Source organism: Homo sapiens, chromosome 1 (assembly GCF_000001405.40).
Source record: "Homo sapiens chromosome 1, GRCh38.p14 Primary Assembly".
Lineage (NCBI taxonomy): Eukaryota > Metazoa > Chordata > Mammalia > Primates > Hominidae > Homo > Homo sapiens.
In genome coordinates this window covers 230,175,889-230,197,409 of record NC_000001.11, presented here as the reverse complement: position 1 = coordinate 230,197,409, position 21,521 = coordinate 230,175,889, and the positions used below count along the sequence as shown (strand labels likewise).

The window sequence follows — 21,521 nt, the reverse complement described above, 5'->3', positions numbered from 1 at the left end:
GGGAATCCCTGCTTTCTTTATGGGGGTCCTGTGGGCACTGCCCAGGCGAGCAGGGGTACAGACCTGCGGATGCACTGAATTCATGCCCTGCTGTTACCCACGAGTACCTCCCGCCCTCCCCATAGCGCTGTGAGAAGTGAGAAGGCGGGGCCAGTGGATGATTTCACCTACGTCTACACTTGTATCCTTTCATTTCCATCTGCTGCTCCCAAGAAACACCTGGAAATAACAACTCAATGTCATTCTCTGCTTGTTTCAGGCAGGGGGAGATGCGAGACAGGTCCCATGTCAGGTGGAGTGTGGAGGAAGAGAGGCTTGCTCTGAAGCCAGGGGTGTTAGTGCTTGAAAGAGGAATAGTCCAGACACAGCCCACTACAAAATGGAAGTGCCAGGGGCCTACTCTAAGAGAAAATTAGTTTTACTATCAGCCATATCATGATCAGTTAGGTCCCTAGGTTTTCCACTTAAGCTGTTTTTCACATTCCTTGGCGGTACTGGGTCTGAGAAACCCAGTTCTCAGGACTGTGCAGAGACGGGAAGCACCAGCCCTCTGCCCCTCACCTGTGCATGCCATGGGCACCTTCCTTTACCATTTTCTCCTGCTCTCTGCATCACCCAGAGGGCTATTGAGGGCCACAAAGCCTCTGGGGGCTCCCACTCAGATGCGGAACTTCTCCTGCTCAGTGGGGATGGGATGAGGAGAAGCGGGGCCTGCCTGCTGACAGCAGCTTGTGTGCTGGACGGGGCAAGAATGCAGAAGCCTGTGTCCCCAGGTGGAGCTGTACCTTCCCATCTCCTGTCAAGACCCACACCCACCCTCTCTCAATCCTAGGGTTGGAAGAATACTAAAGGGACGTCTCGCACTTGCCGTCCTGAGGAATGTATGGGTGACCTCATAAGACAGACATTTTATTTTGGGTCTTAATTTTGGAGAAAAACAGTCCACCACCCTCTATTTTCCCCAAGTTGATCAGAACAGCCCAGTACAGTGAAAATGCCAAGCCCAAGCAAATGTACGGAAATTAACAAACACCTCACTGGAAAGACCCGCCATCCAAAAGTGAGGAGGAGATGGGATAGCTCCATAACCAAGCCAAGGTTCCAAGAAAGCCCCGGAGAAAGGGCACTTGGGCTGGGTCTTGAAGCGTGAGCAGGAGCCTGCCAGATGCAGGAGGCATGTAACAGAAGACACCCAGAGACAGAAGAGACCCAGTAGGGAGGGACGGCAGGCAGGAGGTGAGGGGGCCCTGTGCCCAGTGGCTGCAAATCCTCTAGCCTGGGCTGAAGTACTTGAACCTTACTCCCCACATTCTAGAGTGCACAGGATATTTGGAGTAAATGAGTGCTGATCCACTTTGCACTCCAGGAATGTGCCTCTGGCTGTGGAACGAAGGATGCTCAGACAGGAGACGAAAGTGAGGAGGCTGACGACCCTGGTGCAAGTGTGTACAGCCTAGTGCACATCTGCCCCCTGCTCAGGAAGGCCCTGCCCCTATCTGAGGATTGTCCCCAGCCAAATGCCATGTCACCTCCAAGCCAGCCCAGCCCCTGCAAGCCCCAAACTCACGTCCAGGTCTCTGCTCACCTCCGGCTTGTGTGGCCAGTGGTGCCTCCCCAGCGCTCCCTCCTCCTCCAGGAGGAGCCACGGTGGAATCTGTGGCGGTGCGGGCACAGCACCTCTCAGGAAGGCTGCCATGCTTCCACTAACCTGGCTAATACTTCATTACTGTTTTGTCAGTCCCATCGGCAACCCCAGAAGGTGTACCTGGGAACTCTTACTAAAGCTGGTCTTCCTAGCCATGCCCGCACCGCTGATGCTGTGCATACTTACAGATAAGGCAGGGCCACTGCGATGTATGTGTCTACCCCTCCTGCCAGCTGAGCTGCCTCTCAATGTGGCTACCTCCTCCAGGAGCCCTCCCTGGGGTCCCTAGCTGCTGCCTCTCTGCACCCTCTCTCTTTTCTTTCTCCTCTCTCTGCAAGCCTCTTCCTGCCCCCTCACGCAGAGCTCTATCCCAACCACAGCTTTTCTAAAACCCTCTTGCCAGGGGGCCTTATAAGTGCTTCCACTCTTCTGTCTAATAACTTGAAATTCCACCAAGGCTAGAGCTCAAGTTTAACCACATCTAACTGCCACTGAACACAGCAACAAACACAGAGACAATGGTGTTTGTTCCTGCTCTGCCGGCACCTCAGTGACTCCCAAGTCACTCCCCAGAAATTATAGCCACCTCTCGGGTTCTGGCTGTGCCCTCCCTGTCTTGACCTTGGTCCGGACTTGGAGACACATTCACTGAAAGCCGTTTAAAATGAGTCCTGTCTCTCTCCACCTGACTCAGACTTCAATACCCTTCTAACCTTGTTTGCTGTACCCTTTTCAGTTTGGAGATCAAGTCTGGACAGAGAAGATGGAGGCCCAATGGGAACGGGCAGGCTCCACTTCTTCTCCCCGCAGAGCTGGGATGCTCTTCTTGCTCTCTCTCCTCCCCTCGTGTCCACAGACCTATGCTTGTCATCTTCAGCACTGACCCCTCCGCACGCACTGGAATAGGCTGCCACAGCTCTCTCTGCTCCCCTCTATGGTGGATGGGGGCCCAGCCCGGAAGCTGCTAAGCAGTGCACTTCAGTAATGAAAATGAACATCCTGCTAAGCCCTACAGGCGTTCCTGCAACTTGTTCTGACACTGTTCCCAGAGGCCTGTGGCACTGTGGGGAGAGTGTCCCTCCCCTCCTGGCCACCTCGCAGCTGCATCTGATGTCTGATGGCAAATGGAGGCCAGTCCATTTGAAGGGCTGGGCTAACCGCAAGAGGAAGGGAGATTCCTTGTCCATTACCTTTGGACTGATGGCCCTAAGGCCTTCCCTTCTTATCCCTGTAGCCATGAAAAACAATGTGTACAGTCAGAGAGGGGATGGGCCCAGGTTAATTCTTCTGCCTCTGGGAGAGAAGGGCCAGGACCTGGAGAGACAGAGCAGACCTACGGTGGCCTGACAAGTCCTGGCTCTGGACCCCTGCAGGAGAAGGGGGCCCTAAGGCTGGTGTGGGAGGTGAACTTCCCACCACTTCTGTCTGCCGGTCCATTCTGCAGGACGCATCCCTGCCCACTGTCCTGACTAGCCACTACCCGGCCACTGCTCCCTGGGTTACACAGACTTCAGGCCCAGCAACTTTTTCTTTTTTCTCTTCCCCATCTTTGACTTAGTCGGCATGCCTCCCCACTGATACTCTTCATCACACCCGCTATCATTCAGGGCACAAGGTTTTGTGCTTTGCTACTTCCTTGGGTACAGAATTTCTTCTCCCTCCCGTAACCCATCCACCAGGCTCTGAGTTATAGCTACCTTTTCAGAATCTGTTTTTTCCTGGTTTAGTTTTGGGAACTTTTCTCCCCATCTTATCGAGGCTGGAGAGCAGGACAGTGTCCCTTGAGCAGAGAGTGGCTGGCGACTGTAACGGTCCATGGTGCCTGGGAGTGGAGGCTGAGCATAGGCACTGAGGCCCCGGGAAGGCTGCTCGGGGCCCCGCCAGCATCAGCTCTGTGGCTGACACTCTAGGACCTGGCTGCAGCCAGAGACACAGCCAGACAGCGCTCCTAAGTGCCACTCAGGACACCATTTCCATGGGACAGTTCATTCTGGGATCCTAATAACCAATCTTCAAGTGAACTTTTTGAAAAAGACGCTTTTGTCATCAGGGGACTACTTGCATTTGGATGACTTGTTCAAATAAATGTTGGTTTAAAATAATGCTACCTTTCCAAACAATGCCACTTCTTTCTTAAAATTTTTGTTTTTACTAAACCTTATATTTGAAAAAAAAAAGATGACAGAAACCTATAAAACTGACCCTTCAAAGAATTAACATCACAAAGCACATGAAGACCCCAGCACACAGAGGCGCACGCACACCCCAGCACAGAGAGGCGCATGCAAACCCCAGCACACAGAGGCTCACGCACAGGCACATGCACAAATGCGGTCTTTAGAGGACTCTCAGTTGCGACTGTCCTTCAGCAGCAGATCAGGACATATGCTCTTGGGCAAAGAGCTGTCATCTACCACCCGCAGGTGTACAAGGGGAGGGGAGGTATCTTCCTGGATGCAGGTCCCGTTGTGCAGGAAACTGAGAGTCTCAGTGGATTCAGGCTGCAGGAGGCTTCAGGATTCTATACAGGTATTCACTGCTGTACTGCAACTCTTCATTCAAATCCTCCCCAGGAAAGACAGCTTAAACAAATCTAAAGCTACCCCACGTAAAACAGAGCAACCGCTGGGAAAGCAGCCAAGGAAGGGAAACAGAATGTATTTAATATCAAAGGACAAGGCTCTCAGATTTATTTGGTTGATCTCAAATTGAATGTAATTTTACTGTGCTTAAAAGAAAAAAAATCCTAATATTCTTCCTCTAGAAGGTCATAATGCTACACCATGAAAGAAAAGACGAGGACAAGGCCAGGATTACAAACAAATAGATCCATTTCAATTACAAAGGCCCATAAATTATGTTTTATTATTTGTCACTGGATATGTGGTATCACAGGAAATTTTCTTCACCTGTGAGAAACCGTCTCTTGAAATAGGGAATCCCACACATCCATGATTAAGGACAAAAAAACCAGGAAATCCAAAGAAGTGATAAAAAGCTATTTAAAAGAAAACCTAAGAAAATATCAGATGTTATAGAGGAAATAGTTTTCATTTGTTTAAAATTATCTGTGCTATCAAAACAACTAAAAATATACCACAAAACAGTATCAAATTGATAAAGTGCAATAAATCTTCATGTATGAATCATCCTATATCTCTTCTTCAAATTTGAAATGAAAATTCTTCATTTTTCGTTATATGTTGTACTACCTAACCATAATAAATTTAGCCTATTGTACATGGTCTTGACCAATCTTCTTTTTCATCCTAAATATCAGTAATAATATCAAAGTGAATCTACTGCCCAGAATCCCAGCCAACAGATGAAAAAGACAGAAGGAGAGAAAGACAGCATCTGTTAACCAGTGACTACTTGGTCTGCTACTTCATACAAGACCTTGTCCACACCATACCATAACCATGTCAAATATGAGGGTTTCTGCTTTACAAGTTAGGAAACTAAGGCACAGAAGTTAAACTTATCCAACATATCACAGCTGTAAGACGATGGAACCACAACTCAAACCCAGGTCCTAATTATGCCCAGTCTGTGTTCCCTCCACTGCACCCGACAACTCACTTTTAAGTGGGGAAAATTGAAGCGAAACACCAAAAAGCAACCCTGCATGCCTGTGCAGTTCTCAGCTGCCCAGCCCCCTTTCAGGTGGCAGTGCCAGTCCTGTCTCCACCCTGGAGTGACTGAGTCTCTGACTTTGAGAGCAGGTGTTCCTGTCTCTGAAACACTGGCATCACCTGTTGTTGGACTCAGAAGGAACTGTGGACATCATCTCTCCAGGTGTGAAAATCTTTCCATTACAGTCCCTAATGTCCAGCCACAGCTGAAGAGGTGCTGAGCATGGGGAGCCCCCCGTTTCAAAAGGCAGCTGTTTCACTGGACAGCGAGAACTGTTGGTGGGGGCTTCCTCAGATAAAAACAAACGCTGCTTCCTGAATGGGCACGGTGGCTCACGCCTATGATCCCAGCACTTTGGGAGGCCAAGGAATAGGGATCACTTGGGCTCAGGAGTTTGAGATCAGCCTGGGGAACATAGCGAGATGCTGTCTCTGCAAAAAATTTTAAAAATGTGTCTGGCATAGTGGCACATACCCGTAGTCCTAGCTGTGTGGGAGGCTGAAGCAGGAGGACTGCTTAAGCCCAGGACTTTGAGGCTGCAGTGAGCTATGATTGCACTACTGCACTCCAACCTGGGTTGGTGAGACCCTGTCTCAAAACAACAACAGAAACAAAAAAATGCTTCCCTCTAATTTCTGCTCAAATAAAAGAAACAGAAGTCTCAAATAAAAAGAGAAAAAAAGTCTTCAGCCTCTTTTATATGGTAGCCTTTCAAATATTCAGACATCATGATCCCACTTCCCCTTGGAAGCCCTTCTGTAAAAACATCCACAGTTACTGCACATGTTCCTCATCGGACACTGCTTCCGCTTCCTCAAAATCTGAGTCACTGTCAGCCGGACTAACTCTAGTTTATCAGCATCCCTGAACACTCTGTGCTCTGAAGAGAACTAAACACTTCAGCTATGGGGTGGGAGCCCAGAGAACACTGGATGTCACGTGACTGCTTCTAGACACTGTATTTCGACTAATAAAGCTTAAGATAACTATTTTTAAACAGCTCCATTACATTTCTGGCTACTGATCTCAGCCCTTGGTCTCCACTTTCTTGCTTGTTGGAACAGGAGAAGGACAATGAAGATTTTTTAATGTTGGCTAGAGTAAGAAAATAGGCCCCCTGTGGAAGATAAAATGGCAACTAATATTAAAAAATGCATGCATTGCCATTGACCCTGCAATTTCACTTTTAGGAATTCATTTCAAGAAAATAATCATGGACTTAAACAAAGATTTACCTCTCAGGATACTGGCTGGAACCCCTCTTTATGTCCCACAACAAAAAATAAGTTCAATGAGCCGATGGCGGTCGAGATGTTGCTGCCATTAAAATGCTATAGGAGATGTTTATGGATGTGAAAAGGAGTTCCCGATATATCGCCCAAGCAGAGATGGTACACCACAGTGCTGTATTTGTAAAAATCTAGCTGTAAGCAGATGGTAGGGAACTGCCCATAGAAAAAGGCCCCGTTTCAGGAGAGAAGAGAGAGGAGGGTGGCCCCCGATCAGGGAGTCAGAGCCCAGAGGGGGCTCTGAAAGAGAGATGGGCGTGTGTGGAGAGACGTCTCAGCAAATCCCCCAAATCTACTGAAATGCTAGTCACCTTGTGGATGACCTGAATTTTCATAGAAATTCACGAAAAGATTGAACTTTGAATGTGGGATAAAACTCAGGACCTGTTGTCAGAGAGGCCAGATGCTTCAGGAGCATTTGGTCCCAGGAGCCAACTCTAAGAAACTGTGCAAGGCCTGAGGCTTCAAGTGCGTGGGTCTTGGCGCATCCCATGCAGAGGAGACCCCTTCGTCTCAGCTATGGGGGCAGCACACCCACCTGGGTATACGCCCAGGGCAAGTATGGAGGAACACGCAGTGGGAGAGGAATGGTGGTTGTTTCTGGATGGTAGAATTATGTATGAATATAATTTTCTTATTTTTGCTTATCTGAATTTCTAAAACGTACAATACACACATTGCTTGCTTTTTAAAAGATGCTTCCCTAAAGACACTGACAGCCACTTATTTTCCTTATGACAACACTGTGCAGATCACTGGCCTCAGGCCTGGCTCATGAAGAACTACGTAGACTTCGCTCCCCACAAGTGTCACACGGTTCCACCTCACACGACATGTATCACAGGGCACATGGTTCACAGAGACACAGGAAGGGAATTCTGACCCACAACATGGGTGAACCTGGAGGAGTTATGCTAAGTGAACAAGCCAGAAATAAAGGACAAGTACTGTAAGGCTGCACTCATATGAGGGACCCAGAGGAACCAAATTCATAGAAACAGGAATACCAGGGCCTGGGAGAGGGAGGAATGGGACATTGGTACTACATGGGTACAGTTTCCATTTTGCAAGATGAAAACAGCTCTAATTGATGGTGGTGATGACTGCACAACACTGTGAATGCGCTTAATGCCACGGACCTGTATGCTTAACAACGCTTAAAATGGCAACTTTAGTGTTACGCATCTTTTACCACAATTAAAAAGATAAATGCACAATGCCAGAACCCATTAAGTCACCTAGAAAAACAAAGGGTCGGGGAACACTCCTCTCTGATGCTGCAGCAATGCTGAACAAATAACACAAGTGGTTTATCTCATCTTTCTTCCGGCAGGTGGGAAGTAGAAAAGCTAAAACGTCTCTGTTAGGATCAGTGGCAATTCACACCCTGGATTTAAGTTCTCTTAACACATTTCATCATTCCCATTTCATTCATCTTTACGTGAACATTAGCAATTTCTGTTCTGAGAAATCCACTGTCTGGGGTAACTGAACCAACAGCACATCGGGGAGGGGTGGCTGTGATGAAGACACAGCCCAGGACCAGGATGGGGAGGGGGCTCAAGGAGAATCCAGACGGCCTTAGGACTCTCCTTTCTGAACTCTCTCCCTACCCTCGTCTCTCCTAAGCCTCAGCCCTTTACACAAGGTTACTAAGGAATACAAGAATGACACTAAGGTCTCATAAAGGCAAAGAGAAAATCTGCTCCAAAAGGCCACGTTGACCAAAGGGTGAGAGATCTCCAACAAGAACCTCATCAACAGCTGTCCTCAGAGGCAGACCTCGGCCTTCTAGCCCCTACAGCTGCCCCTGCTCCTCTTCCGGCCCCACTCCTCTACTGGCCCCTGCTCCTCTTCCGGCCCCCGCTCCTTTGCCAGTCCTTCTGCCAGCTGGCTGGCTGGTCAGATTCAGAGACAATTACAGGGAGAAACTTATTTTTCAATCCAGAAGTTTTTCCACACCAAGGGGAAAAAATGACATTCTTCTCTATCAGATAGATTTCCAAAATACAAAATATTGACTAATATACATACTCTATTTGAAGACAATATTTTAAAAACCAACACTGAAAAAAAAAATTCAGTGGTTCCAAGTAGAAAGCATGATGCTGAAATAGAAGCAAGGGTCACAGAGTTTATGGGCAAAAACTCATCCACAGTAGACCTGAAATGTGGTATGAGGGTGGGGGGAACTACAGAGATATATTTTTACAGCATGTAAAAGAAAATAAAATTGGTGATTCCAATCTGAGAATAGAGATTAAAGGGAAATGGTAAGACACAGTTAACAGAATCAAAGAGTTTTAGAGCAAGAATGTATCTAAATTTTACAGACAAGGAAAACAAAACCCAAATACTCCTTAACTTGTCTAAGGCCACAGGACTGGTGGCACAGCTGAGCCTAGAGCTCCCGGCCATCATCCTTGTTCCGAACCCAGATCCCGTGCTCCCAGGTTATTGTTCTTGCCCCCATTCCATGACTTCCAGCTGGGACTGCCACTTGGGTGGTATACTTTATACAAATTCCAGATTCTTCCCCAAAGTACGATGAACCAAGGCAAGAAATAGAGTTAAAACAATAATCTGGGTTTTTGTGACCACGGCAGCCCCAAGAGTGGTAGTCTCCAAAGTGGGGCCACATAAGACAATCTTCTGGGGCAAAGAAAGAAAATGACAGACATTGTCAAGTATTTTCCTCATCCTTTATAATAGCTTATTTTAAATACACTTTATGATACAAACAGGAGGCAGGGAAATACTGGGTAGGAGAGAGTGGTCCCTAGCAAACGCCACACCCTCAAGCCTGGAACCGTAGGGCCCAAAGTGAGAACATGCATTTCTGTTTTCCTGCCCGAATGTTGCCTTTTCCAAAACCACCCCGGCCCGCCCCACCCTCCATCTTGTACCCATAAAAACCCCAGGCCCTACCAGCAAAGCAATAGAGAAGGAGAGAAGAAACAGCCGGATGTTGGAGAGAATCAGCTTGATTTCAGAGGGACAGCTTGACAGCAGGACTTTGGAGAAGAGTTTGGCTGGGGACAGCAGGACTCCAGGGGAAGACCATCTTCCCACTTAACCCCCTTTCTAGCTTCCCATCCCACTGAGAGCCACTTCCAGTGCTCAATAAAGTCCTCCACATTCACCATCCTTCAATTTGTTTGCACAACTTGATTCTTCCTGGACACCGGACGAGAATTCAGGTACCAAGAGGGTGGATGCAAAAGGCTGTCACACTGACCTTGCACTGAGCTAACACTTAAGTCATCTGTGGACAGCAAATCTAAGAGCACACTGTAACATATGCCCTCTAGGGCTCCAGGGGTCACAGGTAGCCCCACCCAGATGCTGCCGGGGGGCTGCACAGAGTTCTACTCCTGCCGATGCCCAAAAGCACTCACCCCAGCCCCTGCACCCACTCACCTGCATGCTGCTCCTCCCATGAGGGGCTGAGAGCTGTGGGCTGAGTCCTGTGAAGGGGTCAAGGGAACTATCCCATTTCATTTAGAATGTATCAATAAATCTGTACGGCAATATGCATGTAATTCCTAAGTAAGCATTTTAATACATATGTGTGTGGGAGGTGGTCTAAATATACGTCTGTTCATAGAGTGTGCGATCAGAAAATTGGAGACTGTTGGCCTGGAACATCACTGCTCTGCCCTGTTAGATCTGGCTCCTTCATCTGTCAGTGGGTTCTGTGGCCATAAAAGCATCCAGCTTGGTGTCATGTCTTCCCGCCCATCTGTCTACAACTGCTACATGCCCAACACACAGAACACAGGAAGCCACTGAGCTTCCTGAACACACCACTGACACACTGGGAAGTGCCATGGCCAGCGGTTTCTTGCAAACCATAAAACTTTAGCTGTGTTCCTCATGCTTAGGGAAAATGTATTTTTCAATCACAAGAAAATAATTTCTAACAACAAAAAAATTATGTGTATGTTGGTTTAGTAAGAAAAATGGTTTCAACATAAAAAGGAAAGAAAGCCCTTTGGCAAAATAAAAAGACATTGTGCATTTATCAAAAATTACTACTAATAACTCAAAAGAGAGGCAAATCAGTACATTCTGATCTCTTTGAAGATAAGAAAACCAACTGTATGCAATAGTTAAGGATATGAAAGGCAGAGTCAATGTGAGCACTCAAATGATTTTAAGTAAGGTATGACTCTCAATGGTCAAATCCAGCCTATGACCTGAAGATGGCTTTTCCCTCCCTCTCTCTATTTGCCTGAAAACCATCAGAACACTTGTATGTTTTTAATAGAAGATAATCCATAGGAAGTCTCTCATTAATCCACACAACAGAAGTGTGTATCCTAGCTTCCTATTATTATAATAAAGGAATATTAACTATTCTATTCAGATGCTCCCCATTGTGTGGGTAATGTTTACTTTACATATGAAAGAACTGTGGCTCAGGGCTTCATGACTCATCCAGGAGCTGGAAAGATGACAGGGAGGCCGACTTAACACACAAATTGACTGCATGCATGCGTCCAGTCAGAGTTCCTGGAGGAGACAGTGACATACCTGCATCTGGTGTAGGTGGGACAACGCATGGGGAGGGCACAAAGGAGGGGCTTGGACTCCCTGGGGTGACGCTTGTCCAACCACAGTCAAGAACACAACGTGCAAACACTCTCACCAGCAAACACTCTCACCAGCAAACACTCTTGCCAGCAAAGCAAACACTTCATAAACGGACGTCCAGTTCCCAATAGGCATGTAAGGAGCTTGAAAGTCGTTATTCCGTCCTAACAGTAAAAAGCTGAATAAAATGAAAAATCAGCACTTCTTAGAGATCTGCCTTGGATCTGTTGGAGAAATGTCACAAGCCACAGCCCCCCAAATTGGACAGGTGAATACAAGGAATCACAATTCACTGGAGCAGAAGCCTGTAAGTAGAAACCCCTGAAGATCCACTACGGGGGTAGGAAAACCTAAACTGTAGTGGAAAATTCCTGGAGGCTCACTGTGGACAAGCCTAAGAGATTAAAAACTCCAGGGGGACCCAGTCATGGGGGTGTGGCAGCTATATTTGTGTGAGTTTTACCTCCTGGAGCTCTACCAGATCCTCACAGTGAATATTGAAGAAATATCCCCTCATGCTTACAACAGTGAGAGGGGAAAATAACCATTTTGAAAGAAGCCAGGGCACTGTGTTCTTATTAATAAGGCCTGCCATCGGGAGAAACTATTTAAACAGGGACTAAACTGCTAGCATTTATCAGAGCCTGTCCAATCTGAGGAACAGGAAATAACCAGCCTCTGCTAGACTTTAGTATCACCTAAGGATGTGGAGAGGGGGAAGCTGAGAAGCAAATGTGAGGCTCACAGCCCAGACACAAAGGTTCCCTAAAAGAATGAGACCAAATCATAGGACTATAGCAAGCTTCCCCTCCCACTACACCTTAACACCACACAACTAAAGGCCTGTTTACCAGGGTTCCGTGCACCAAGTCCATCACATCCAGCTTTCAACATAAAATTACAAGGCACACTAAGAGGTTAAACACACACACACACGCGCGCACACACACACACACACACACACACACACGCACGCACGCACAGTTTAAAGAGACACAGCAAGTATCAGAACCAGACTCAGATATAGAACAATGTTGGAATGATCAGATCAGGAATTTAAAACAACTATAATTAATATGCTAGGGACTCTAATGGAAAAAGTAGGTAACACACAAGAACAGACAGATAATGTAAGCAGCGAAATGGAAATTATGAGAAAGAATCAAAAGGAAATGCTAGAGATCAAAAACACTGTAGAGAATGAGGAATGTCTTTAATGGGCTCATTAGCAGACATGACATGCTGAGGAAAAAAATCTCTAAACTTTAGGACATGACATTAGAAACTTCTAAAACTCAAATGCAAAGACAAAAAAGATGAAAAAAATTGAAATAATATCCAAGAACTGTGGAACAATTACAGTGGTGTAAATATGCATGATGGGAATATCGGAAGGAGAAGAAAGAGAGAAAGGAACAGGAGAAATACTGGAAGCAATAATGACTAAGAATTTCCCCAAATTAATGTTGAACACCAAAACGCAAATTAAGGAAACTTAGAGAACACACAGAATAGTATAAAGGCTCCAAAAACTACACTGAGGCATATCATATTCAAATTGCAGAAAATCAAAGATAAAGAAAAAAAATTGAAAGAAACACCTTACCTATCAATAGAGGAGCAAAGAGAAGGATTATAACTAATGTCTTCTCAGAAACCATGCAGGAAAGAAGAGAGGAGAGGGAAATATTTAAAGGGCTCAGAGAAAAAAAAAATGACCACCTAGAATTCTGTACCATTTAAGATTGATCTTCAGGCCAGGCGCGGTGGCTCACGCCTGTAATCCCAGCACTCTGAGAGGCCAAGGTGGGTGGATCACGAGGTCAGGAGATCGAGACCATCCTGCCTAATGTGGTGAAACCCCATCTCTACTAAAAAAATACAAAAAAATTAGCTGGGTGTGGTTGGGCGCCTGTAGTCCCAGCTACTCGGGAGGCTGAGGCAGGAGAATGGCATGAACCTAGAAGGCAGAGCTTGCAGTGAGCTGAGATAGCACCACTGCACTCTAGCCTGGGTAATAGAGCGAGACTCTGTCGCAAAAAAAAAAAAAAAGATTGATCTTCAAAGATGAAGAAGGGATAGAGACTTCCTCAAACACAAGTTGAGGGAATTTGTTGCCAGTAGACCTGCCTTGCAAAAAATGTTAAAAGCAGCTCTTTTAACATAAGAAAATAACATCGATCAGAAACCTGGATCTACATGAAGAAAGGATGCATCAAAGAAGGAATAAGTGAAGGTAAAATAAAAACTTTTCCTTTTTTTTTTTTGAGTTGTAGTCTTGCTCTGTCACCCAGGCTCAGAATAGTGGTACGATCTCGGCTCACTGCAGCCTCCGCCTCCCAGGTTCCAGCGATTCTCCTGCCTCAGCCTCCCAGGTGGCTGGAATTACAGGCACGCACCACCACACCTGGCTAATTTTTGTATTTTTTGTAGAGACAGGGTTTCACCATGTTGGCCAGGCTGGTCTTGAACTCCTGACTTCAGGTGATCTGCCTGCCTCGGCCTCCCAAAGTGCTGGGATTACAGGCATGAGCCACTGCTCCTCGCCTATTTTTCTTATTCTTAATTGAACTATCATATAATGGGTTGTTTGAAATAATAATAGCAACAATATATTCCATCATGTATTCTTTTATATATTATATACATATGCTTATGTGGATGTAAAATGAATGACAGCAATGATATAAGTGATGGGAGGGAGGAATCAAGAATACTTTGTTGTTATAAGATACGTGCACTACCTGTGAAAAAGTATAGTGTTATCTGAAAGAAGACCAACTAATTTTTTTTTAAGACACATAATAGATATGCTGAGAAGAGAGAGAAAATGGGATCATACAGAAAGCTCAATTAAAACGACAAAAGGCAGAAAAAGTGTGAAAGGTAAAAGTACAAACACAGAATAAGGGCAATAAATAAAAAACAATAACAAATATAGTAAATATGAATTTAAATATATCAACAATCACTGTGTACATCGATGGTCTAAATACACCAAAGAAAATACCAAGATTGTGAGAATCGAAAAATAAGTCCCAATTATATGTTGTCTACAACAAATCCACTATAAATAAAACAACACACATAGATTAAAAGTAAAATGATAAAGAATGGCCTTTACCAAGAAAAGTTAGATCTATCATGCTAACACTAATCAAAAGAAAGTAAGAATAGCTATATTAATTTCTGACAATGTAGACTTTAGATCATAGGAATTTTTAAGGGATCAAGACAGAACTACACAATGATTTTTTAAAAGTCTGTTTTCCAAAAAGATACAACAATCCTTAATGTGTATGTGCCTAAAAGGAGCATAAAAATGCATGAGGCATAAAAATGTCCATGCAGTTCATGATAGATAGAACTGCAAGGAGAAATAAATGAACTCACTGTTATAGTTTGAGACCTCAATAGTCCTCTGTCAAAAATGGGCAGATCCTGCAAGAGGAAGCTCAATAAGGACAGAGTTGAACTCAACAACACCATCAATCAACTAGATATAATTGATATCTATAGACTAATTCAGTCAAAAACAGCAGAGTACACATTCTTCTCAAACTCACATGGAACATTCACCAAAAGAGGCCACATTCTGGGCCACAAAGCATACCTTAACAAATTGAAAAGAACAGAAATCAGACTGTGTGCTCTCAGAACACAATACAATTAAACTAGATTCAATAACAGAAAGATAGCTAGCTGGGAAATCCCAAAGTACATGGAGACTAAACAACGCACTTCTAAATGACACAGGGGTCAAAGAAGAAATCTCAAGAAAAAATGATTTTAAATTTCCAAAGTAAATAAAAATGAAAACAAAACTTATGAAAATTTGTGAGATGCAGCAAAAGCAGTGCTTCCAAAGAAATTTATAGTACTGAGTGCATACATTAGAAAATAAGAAAGATCTAAAAGCAATCATCTAAGATTCTACTTGAAAAAACTAGAAAAAGGAGAAAGTTAAATCCAAAGTAAGTAGAAGACATACTAAAAATTATTACAGAAATCAATAAAATTGAAAACAGAAAATCAATACAGAAAAAAACAAAAACAAAAACTGGTTCTCTCAAAATATCAATAAAATCAATGAATCTCTAACCAGACTAAGTGAAAAGGAAAAAAGGCACATTTTACCAATATCAGAAATGAAAGTGGGGATATAACTACAGATCCCATGGATATGAAAAGGACAATACGGAATAGTATGAACAACTCTATTCCCATAAATTCAATAAGCTGGATTAAATGGACCAATTCCTCCAAAGACATACTCTGCCAAAATTCACATAAGAAGAAATAGACAATTTGAACTGGTCATATCTATTAAAGAAATTGAATCAATAATTAATAATCTTCCCAAACAGAAAGCACCTGGCCTAGGTGTGTTCACTGATGAATTCTGACCCACATTTAAAGAAAGAAATTATACCAATTCTCTACAATCTCTTCCAGAAGACAGAAGCAGAAGAAATACTTCCTAACTCATTCTATGAGGCCAGCATTACCCTAATACCAAAAACCAGACAAAGACATTTAAGAAAAGAAAGGTATGGCTGGGTGTGCTGGCTCACGCCTGTAATCCCAGCGCTTTGGGAGGGCTGAGGCAGGCAGATCACCTGGGGTCAGGAGTTCAAGATCAGCCTGGCCAACATGGTGAAACCCTGTCTCTAAAAAAAAAAAAAGGAAACGAAAGGTACTGATTAATAGCTCTCATATGACCATATGCAGGAATTCTCAACAAAATAAAGCAAATCAAATTCAACAATGTATAAAGAGAATTATACACCATGATCAAGTAGGATTTATGCCAGTTATGCAACAGTGGCTCAACAAATGAAAACCCATTAACGTAATCCATCATGTCCACTAGCTAAGCAAGAAAAATCACATGATCATATCAATAGATGCAAAAAAACCACTTGACAAAATCCAACACCCATTCATGTTACAAATTCTCAAACTAGGAATGTATGAGAACTTCCTCAACTTGATATAGAATACCTACAAAAATCCTGCAGCTAACATCATACTTAATGGTGAAAAACTGGAAACTTTCCCACTAAGATCAGGAACAAGGCAAAGATGACCCCTCACCACTCTTCTTCAACACTGTGCTGGAAGTCCTAGCTAATGAAATAAGACAAAAAAAAAAGTATAAAGATTGGAAGAAAATAAATAAAATCCTATTTGTTCATAGATCACATGATTGTCTGTGCAGAAAACCTGAAACAATGAACAAAAATTTCCTAGGACTAATAAACAATTACAGCAAGGTTACAAGATGTGAGGTCAATATACAAAAGTCAACTGCTTTCCTATATACCAGTAACAAAGGAGTGGAATGTGAAGTGAAAATCACAAGACCATTTACATTAGAAACTCCCAAAATGAAAAACTTAGGTACAAATCTGACAAAATATGTATAAATTCTGTATGAGGAAAACTACAAAATTCTGATAAAAGGTATCAAAAGAATTAAATGAAAAAATATTTGACATTCATGGGGAGTAAGACAATATGGTCAAAATGTCAGTTAATCTCAACTTGATCTATAGATTCAATGCAATTAGAGCCAAAATCCCAGCAAGTTGTTTTGTGGATATTAACAAACTGATTCTAAAATTTACAAATTTATATGGAACAGCAAAAGATCTGGAATAGCTAAAACTACCTTGAAAGAAAACAAAGGTGACTAACACTACTCGGCTTCAAGACTTTACATGAAGTCATGGTAATCAAGGCAGTGTGGTAGTGGCAAAATAACAGAAAAATAGACCAATGGAAGCAAATAAAGAGCTCCAATATAGAACCATACGAATATTGCCAACTGATCTCTGACAAAGGAGCAAAGGCAATAAAGCGGAGAGAAGAGAGTCTCTTCAGCAAATGTTTCTGGAAGACCTGGACACTCACATGCCAAAAAAAAAAAAAAAAAAAAAAAAAAGAACCTAGACACAGCTCTTACACTTTTCACAAAATTAACTCCAAATGAATCACAGACCTAAATGTAAAACACCAAAGTAGGCCAGGCGTGGTGGCTCCCGCTGTAATTCCAGCACTTTGGGAGGCCGAGGCGGGCGGATCACCTGAGGTCAGGAGTTTGAGACCAGCCTGGCCAACATGGCAAAACGCTGTCTCTACTAAAAATACAAAAATTAGCTGGGCTTGGTGGCAGATGCCTGTAATCCCAGCTACTGGGAGGCTTAAACAGGAGAATCGCTTGAACCTGGGAGGTGGAGGTTGCAATGAGCTGAGATTTCACCACTGCACTCCAGCTTGGGCAACAGAGTGAGACTCTGTCTCAAATAAATAAGTAAATACACCAAAGTATAAAACTCATAGAAGATAACATAGAAGAAAATCTAGGTGACCTTTTTGTCATGGTGAAGACTTTTTAGAGAAAACACCAAAGGCGTGACAATGAAGGAAATAATTGATAAGCCAGATTTTAATCAATTAAAATCTTCTAGGACACTATCAAGACAATGAGAAGACAGGCCACAGACTAGGAGAAACATTTACAAAACCCATATCTGATAAAGGACGATTATCCTAAATGTATACAGACTCTTAAAACTCAACAATAAGAAAATGAACCACTGGATTAAAAATGCGCAAAAGGAGTGAACACCTCAGAAAAGAAAATATACAGATGGCAAATAAGCCTATGAAAAGATGCTCAACATCATATGTCATTAGAGAATTGGAAATAAAAACAAAAGTGAAATACTACTCCACACCTATTAGAGTGGCCTAAATCCAGAACACTGGCAACACCAAATGCTGGTGAGGATGTAGAGAAACAGGAACCCTCACTCACTGTGGTGGGAATGGAAAATGGAACAGCCACTTTGGAAAACAACTTAGCAGTTTCTTACAAAACTCAGCATACTCTTACCATATGATCCAGCAATCATACCCTTTGGTATTTACCCAAATGAGCTGAAAACTTATGTCTACACGAAAACTGGTACATAGATATTTATAGTAGCTTTAATCATAATTGCCAAAACTTGGAAGCAACCAAGATGTCCTTCACTAGGTGAATAAACAAACTAATACACCCAGACAATGGAATGTTAATTCATTAAGAAATGAGCTATCCAGCCATGAAAAGACATGGAGGAACCTTAAATATATATTAAATATTAATATATTAAAATAAATATATATTAAATATATATTACTCAGTGAAAGAAGCTAATCTGAAAAGCTGACATACCCTATGATTCCAACTGCCTGACATTCTAGAAAAGCAAAACTTCAGAGGCAACAAAAGGATCGCTGGTTGCCAGGGGCTGGGGGGAGCAAAGGATGAATGGGCAGAGCACGGAGGACTCTTAAGGCAGTGAAACGACTCTGTATGATACTACAATGGCGGCTAAACGCCATTATGCATTTGTCCAAACCCACAGAATGTGTAACATCGAGAGTGAACCCTAATGTCAACTACAGACTTCGGGTGATGATGACGTGTCAATGCAGGTTCATGGATTGTAACAAATGTACCACTCTGTTGGGGGATACTGACAATGGAGGAGGTTGTATGTGTGTTGGGGGTGGGGGTGCAGGAGGTATACAGGAATTCTCTGTACCTTCCCCTCAGTTTTGTTCTGAAGCTAAAACTGCCCTAAAAAATAAAGTCTATTAAAAATATTTCATGAACTAATATATACTAATATATACTTTCTACTTTAGTCTATTTTTATTTTCTTTTCAACACATTTTGGTCACCTCCTATAAAAGTTTTAACTTGACCACCCACTAATGGGTCCGATGGAAGTTGGCAAAGCAGTGCTTTAGGGCGGTGTCTCCTGCTGACCTATGGAATCCAGCCTCTCCCCACAGACCACCTGCTCCAAGAGCCATGCTCAGTCCACTCCCAATCACGTGCTCAAAGCAAGATGGCTTCCTGGCCCCTGGCAGTACCTGGAGGGAGGGTCTCCATGCTTTGTGCTTTCTCTTCTCCATTGCTGTGATGAAGGTCTTTCTTTTTAATGGGGTCAATTTCATTCCAGTCCTCCTAGGGGAACAAAGACACTGAATGAGTTGACTTGTTCTTCAAGCACACCTTCATTCATCAGTTCAATACATACCGAGTCTTAGGAGAGTTAACACTTGGCCCTGGGGATGCACTGATGAGCAGGAGGGAGGGCACATCTTAAAGACCCCACACACCAGAAATTGTTAGGGAGTCAAGATGCAAGGGGAGAAAAGTATGGGCATGACCTTTCCCAAGGGTTTGCATTTCTCTCTTCATTTTATATTTGTATTGCTTATCTGTGGGAAGGAAATACTCCAAAAACTCCCAGGGCTTTGGGGATTTGTGAGGGTGGGGAAGCGAGATAGGGAAAGTGGATTAAATGAAATAATTCTAGAGTGGTTAAATTAAAGCCATTAAAATGAAGGTAGCTCTCCAGACATCTTAGGTGGTTTATGGACATCTTAGGACCAGATTCTCCCTAAGGGCTCCTTTGAGCTCCCCTCAGAGAGTGTTAAATGATTTAATTCCACTGACTAACACAGGAGCAGGGGGTAGGGCCACCAAGCTTTTTCTAGGACTTACTCTAATAGGACTGCCAATGAAACAGAGATACATATTAAGGACTCAATGTGAAAACAGAATAAGATATAAGCTCTGGCAGAATTTATTCAACTCATCTGGGCAAACAATTTACTCTAATTTATCAACATTAAATCAGACTAAATAACAACTGCACGACCACAGAGCTAAATATATATTTTCCACCACTGGGAATCTGATTTCTGTGACTAAAATAAGAAAGGTTTCTGTATATAACCCAAATCAGAAATAAGCCATGGCTAGTAATTTTCCCACCAGACTCCTGTGAGCCAAGCATTGTCAGCTGGCCATTTTCCTGAGCAGATGCGATTAGGCGGATACGCAACAGTAATCCCTCCCTGCGGGGCGGGGAACCCAGCTCTCCCCGGGTTTATTCCACCAGCACTCCTCTGGACCAGTGCGGACTGTGTGCTGCACGCACGTTCACCACTGGAGACGTTTTGGTTCTTTACTTAAAACGTAAAGTGAGATCTGCAGAAGGGTAAACCTCAGGGCCTGGGCCAAATGACACATTTTTTCCAAATGCAACTTGCTTTGCCAATAATCTGCATTTTTACTCAAGAGGTGCGGTAATTAGACAGAAACTGTGCCTAAGACTCCCCCATCTCTTGGCTAGCTTTTGCTTCCGTTGCTTCTCTAATGAGGCGATACAGCTGGGTTTATCACATCAGGGCTGCCGTGAAAATGGCAGGAAGGGAGGAACTGTAGCCTTGGCGGGCTGGTGAGAGAAACCATTCTGCAGCCGGGGGTCCAAGCCCCACCCACCCAGCAGAACACCTTCCTGGCCTTTAAGTGCCCCATGTACTTTTGCAAGTCTTACCCCACGCTGCAACAAATGTATTAGAATGCAGCTGTATCCCAATTTAAATAATTTTTACTGCAAAAAAGTTTTGAAAAGATATATTTATAACTTGGCTTTTGAGATTACTTGGCTATAAAGAAACTTTCAATTTACTACTGGCACTGATTTTGCGGGAACCCTGGCAGATAGGCAACGGTGAGAGAATTTAACCCACCAACTGGCTTTACAAAGTAAGGAGATACATGTGAATACGAAATCAGCAAGTAATGAAATTACCACAGTCACACTCTGCAGACTTTTAATTACGCATTAATTTTTATTTTGAGGCTTGATTGTAGCATTGTGGCTGATAATTCCCACCTCTCAACCCCCACCCCAGCATCTGGCCTTCTATGTACACCAGCTAATGGATCAAATCATTTAAACTTGTAGCTGAATAAAATCAAAAGTGAACACTGCCAGTGGGGCTGGTGACTCTAGCATATTTTCTACATGTAAAAATAAAGTCATCATCTGTAGTCATTATCTGACATTTGCAGGTCAACCATCAGTGTTTTCCCAGAAAATAAACTTTTTTTTTGTGCCCACAAATAAGATTGATTTGCCCACAGGTAACACTCCTCACCCTCCCTTCTTCCTTCCAATCAATGATGCCTACTATAAAACTAGTGCAGGGTGAGCACTCCTCAACCTCCCTTCTTCCTTCCAATCAACGATGCCTACTATAAAACTAGTGCAGGGTGAGTTCATGCCCATATAATTAGGGCATGACAAGGTACCAAGCAGATGGAACAAGCCCTGCCATTTACGAATACCTACTATGCGCCAAGCATTGTGCATTGACCCTCTCTCATTCCTGCATTTTATAATTCCTGTCTTACAATGAGGACACATAAGATAGGCTAAGCAATTTGTCCAGGTTACGCAGCTGGTAAAAAGCTAAATCTGGCCCTTTATGTAAGTCAG

The 21,521-nt window shown here is 43.5% G+C and overlaps 1 protein-coding gene across 3 annotated transcripts in view, besides 3 other annotated features; it reads right to left on the bottom strand.

Moving 5' to 3' along the window:
• The window catches only part of GALNT2 (polypeptide N-acetylgalactosaminyltransferase 2), a 224,334-nt gene that overhangs the window by 84,713 nt on the left and 118,100 nt on the right, over positions 1 to 21,521 (bottom strand). For all 3 annotated transcript variants that reach the window (NM_001291866.2, NM_004481.5, XM_017000964.3), the window contains one exon: positions 19,099 to 19,192. In NM_001291866.2, coding sequence (NP_001278795.1) covers positions 19,099 to 19,192 — 94 coding nt within the window. The remainder of the gene's footprint in view (positions 1 to 19,098; positions 19,193 to 21,521) is intronic.
• Positions 10,227 to 10,965: an enhancer, noted in NCBI's record as "OCT4-NANOG-H3K27ac hESC enhancer chr1:230322191-230322929 (GRCh37/hg19 assembly coordinates)". NCBI's record gives its function as "activates a minimal SCP1, AML or CMV promoter by ChIP-STARR-seq in naive H9 embryonic stem cells {active_cell/tissue: H9 hESC(naive)}" and the evidence as "EXISTENCE:reporter gene assay evidence [ECO:0000049][PMID:30033119]".
• Positions 10,966 to 11,704: an enhancer, noted in NCBI's record as "OCT4-NANOG-H3K27ac hESC enhancer chr1:230321452-230322190 (GRCh37/hg19 assembly coordinates)". NCBI's record gives its function as "activates a minimal SCP1, AML or CMV promoter by ChIP-STARR-seq in naive H9 embryonic stem cells {active_cell/tissue: H9 hESC(naive)}" and the evidence as "EXISTENCE:reporter gene assay evidence [ECO:0000049][PMID:30033119]".
• Positions 21,209 to 21,436: a silencer, noted in NCBI's record as "fragment chr1:230311720-230311947 (GRCh37/hg19 assembly coordinates)". NCBI's record gives its function as "represses an EF-1alpha promoter that drives an FKBP-Casp9 reporter gene in an ReSE screen in phorbol 12-myristate 13-acetate-treated (for megakaryocytic differentiation) K562 erythroleukemia cells {active_cell/tissue: K562(+PMA)}" and the evidence as "EXISTENCE:reporter gene assay evidence [ECO:0000049][PMID:32094911]".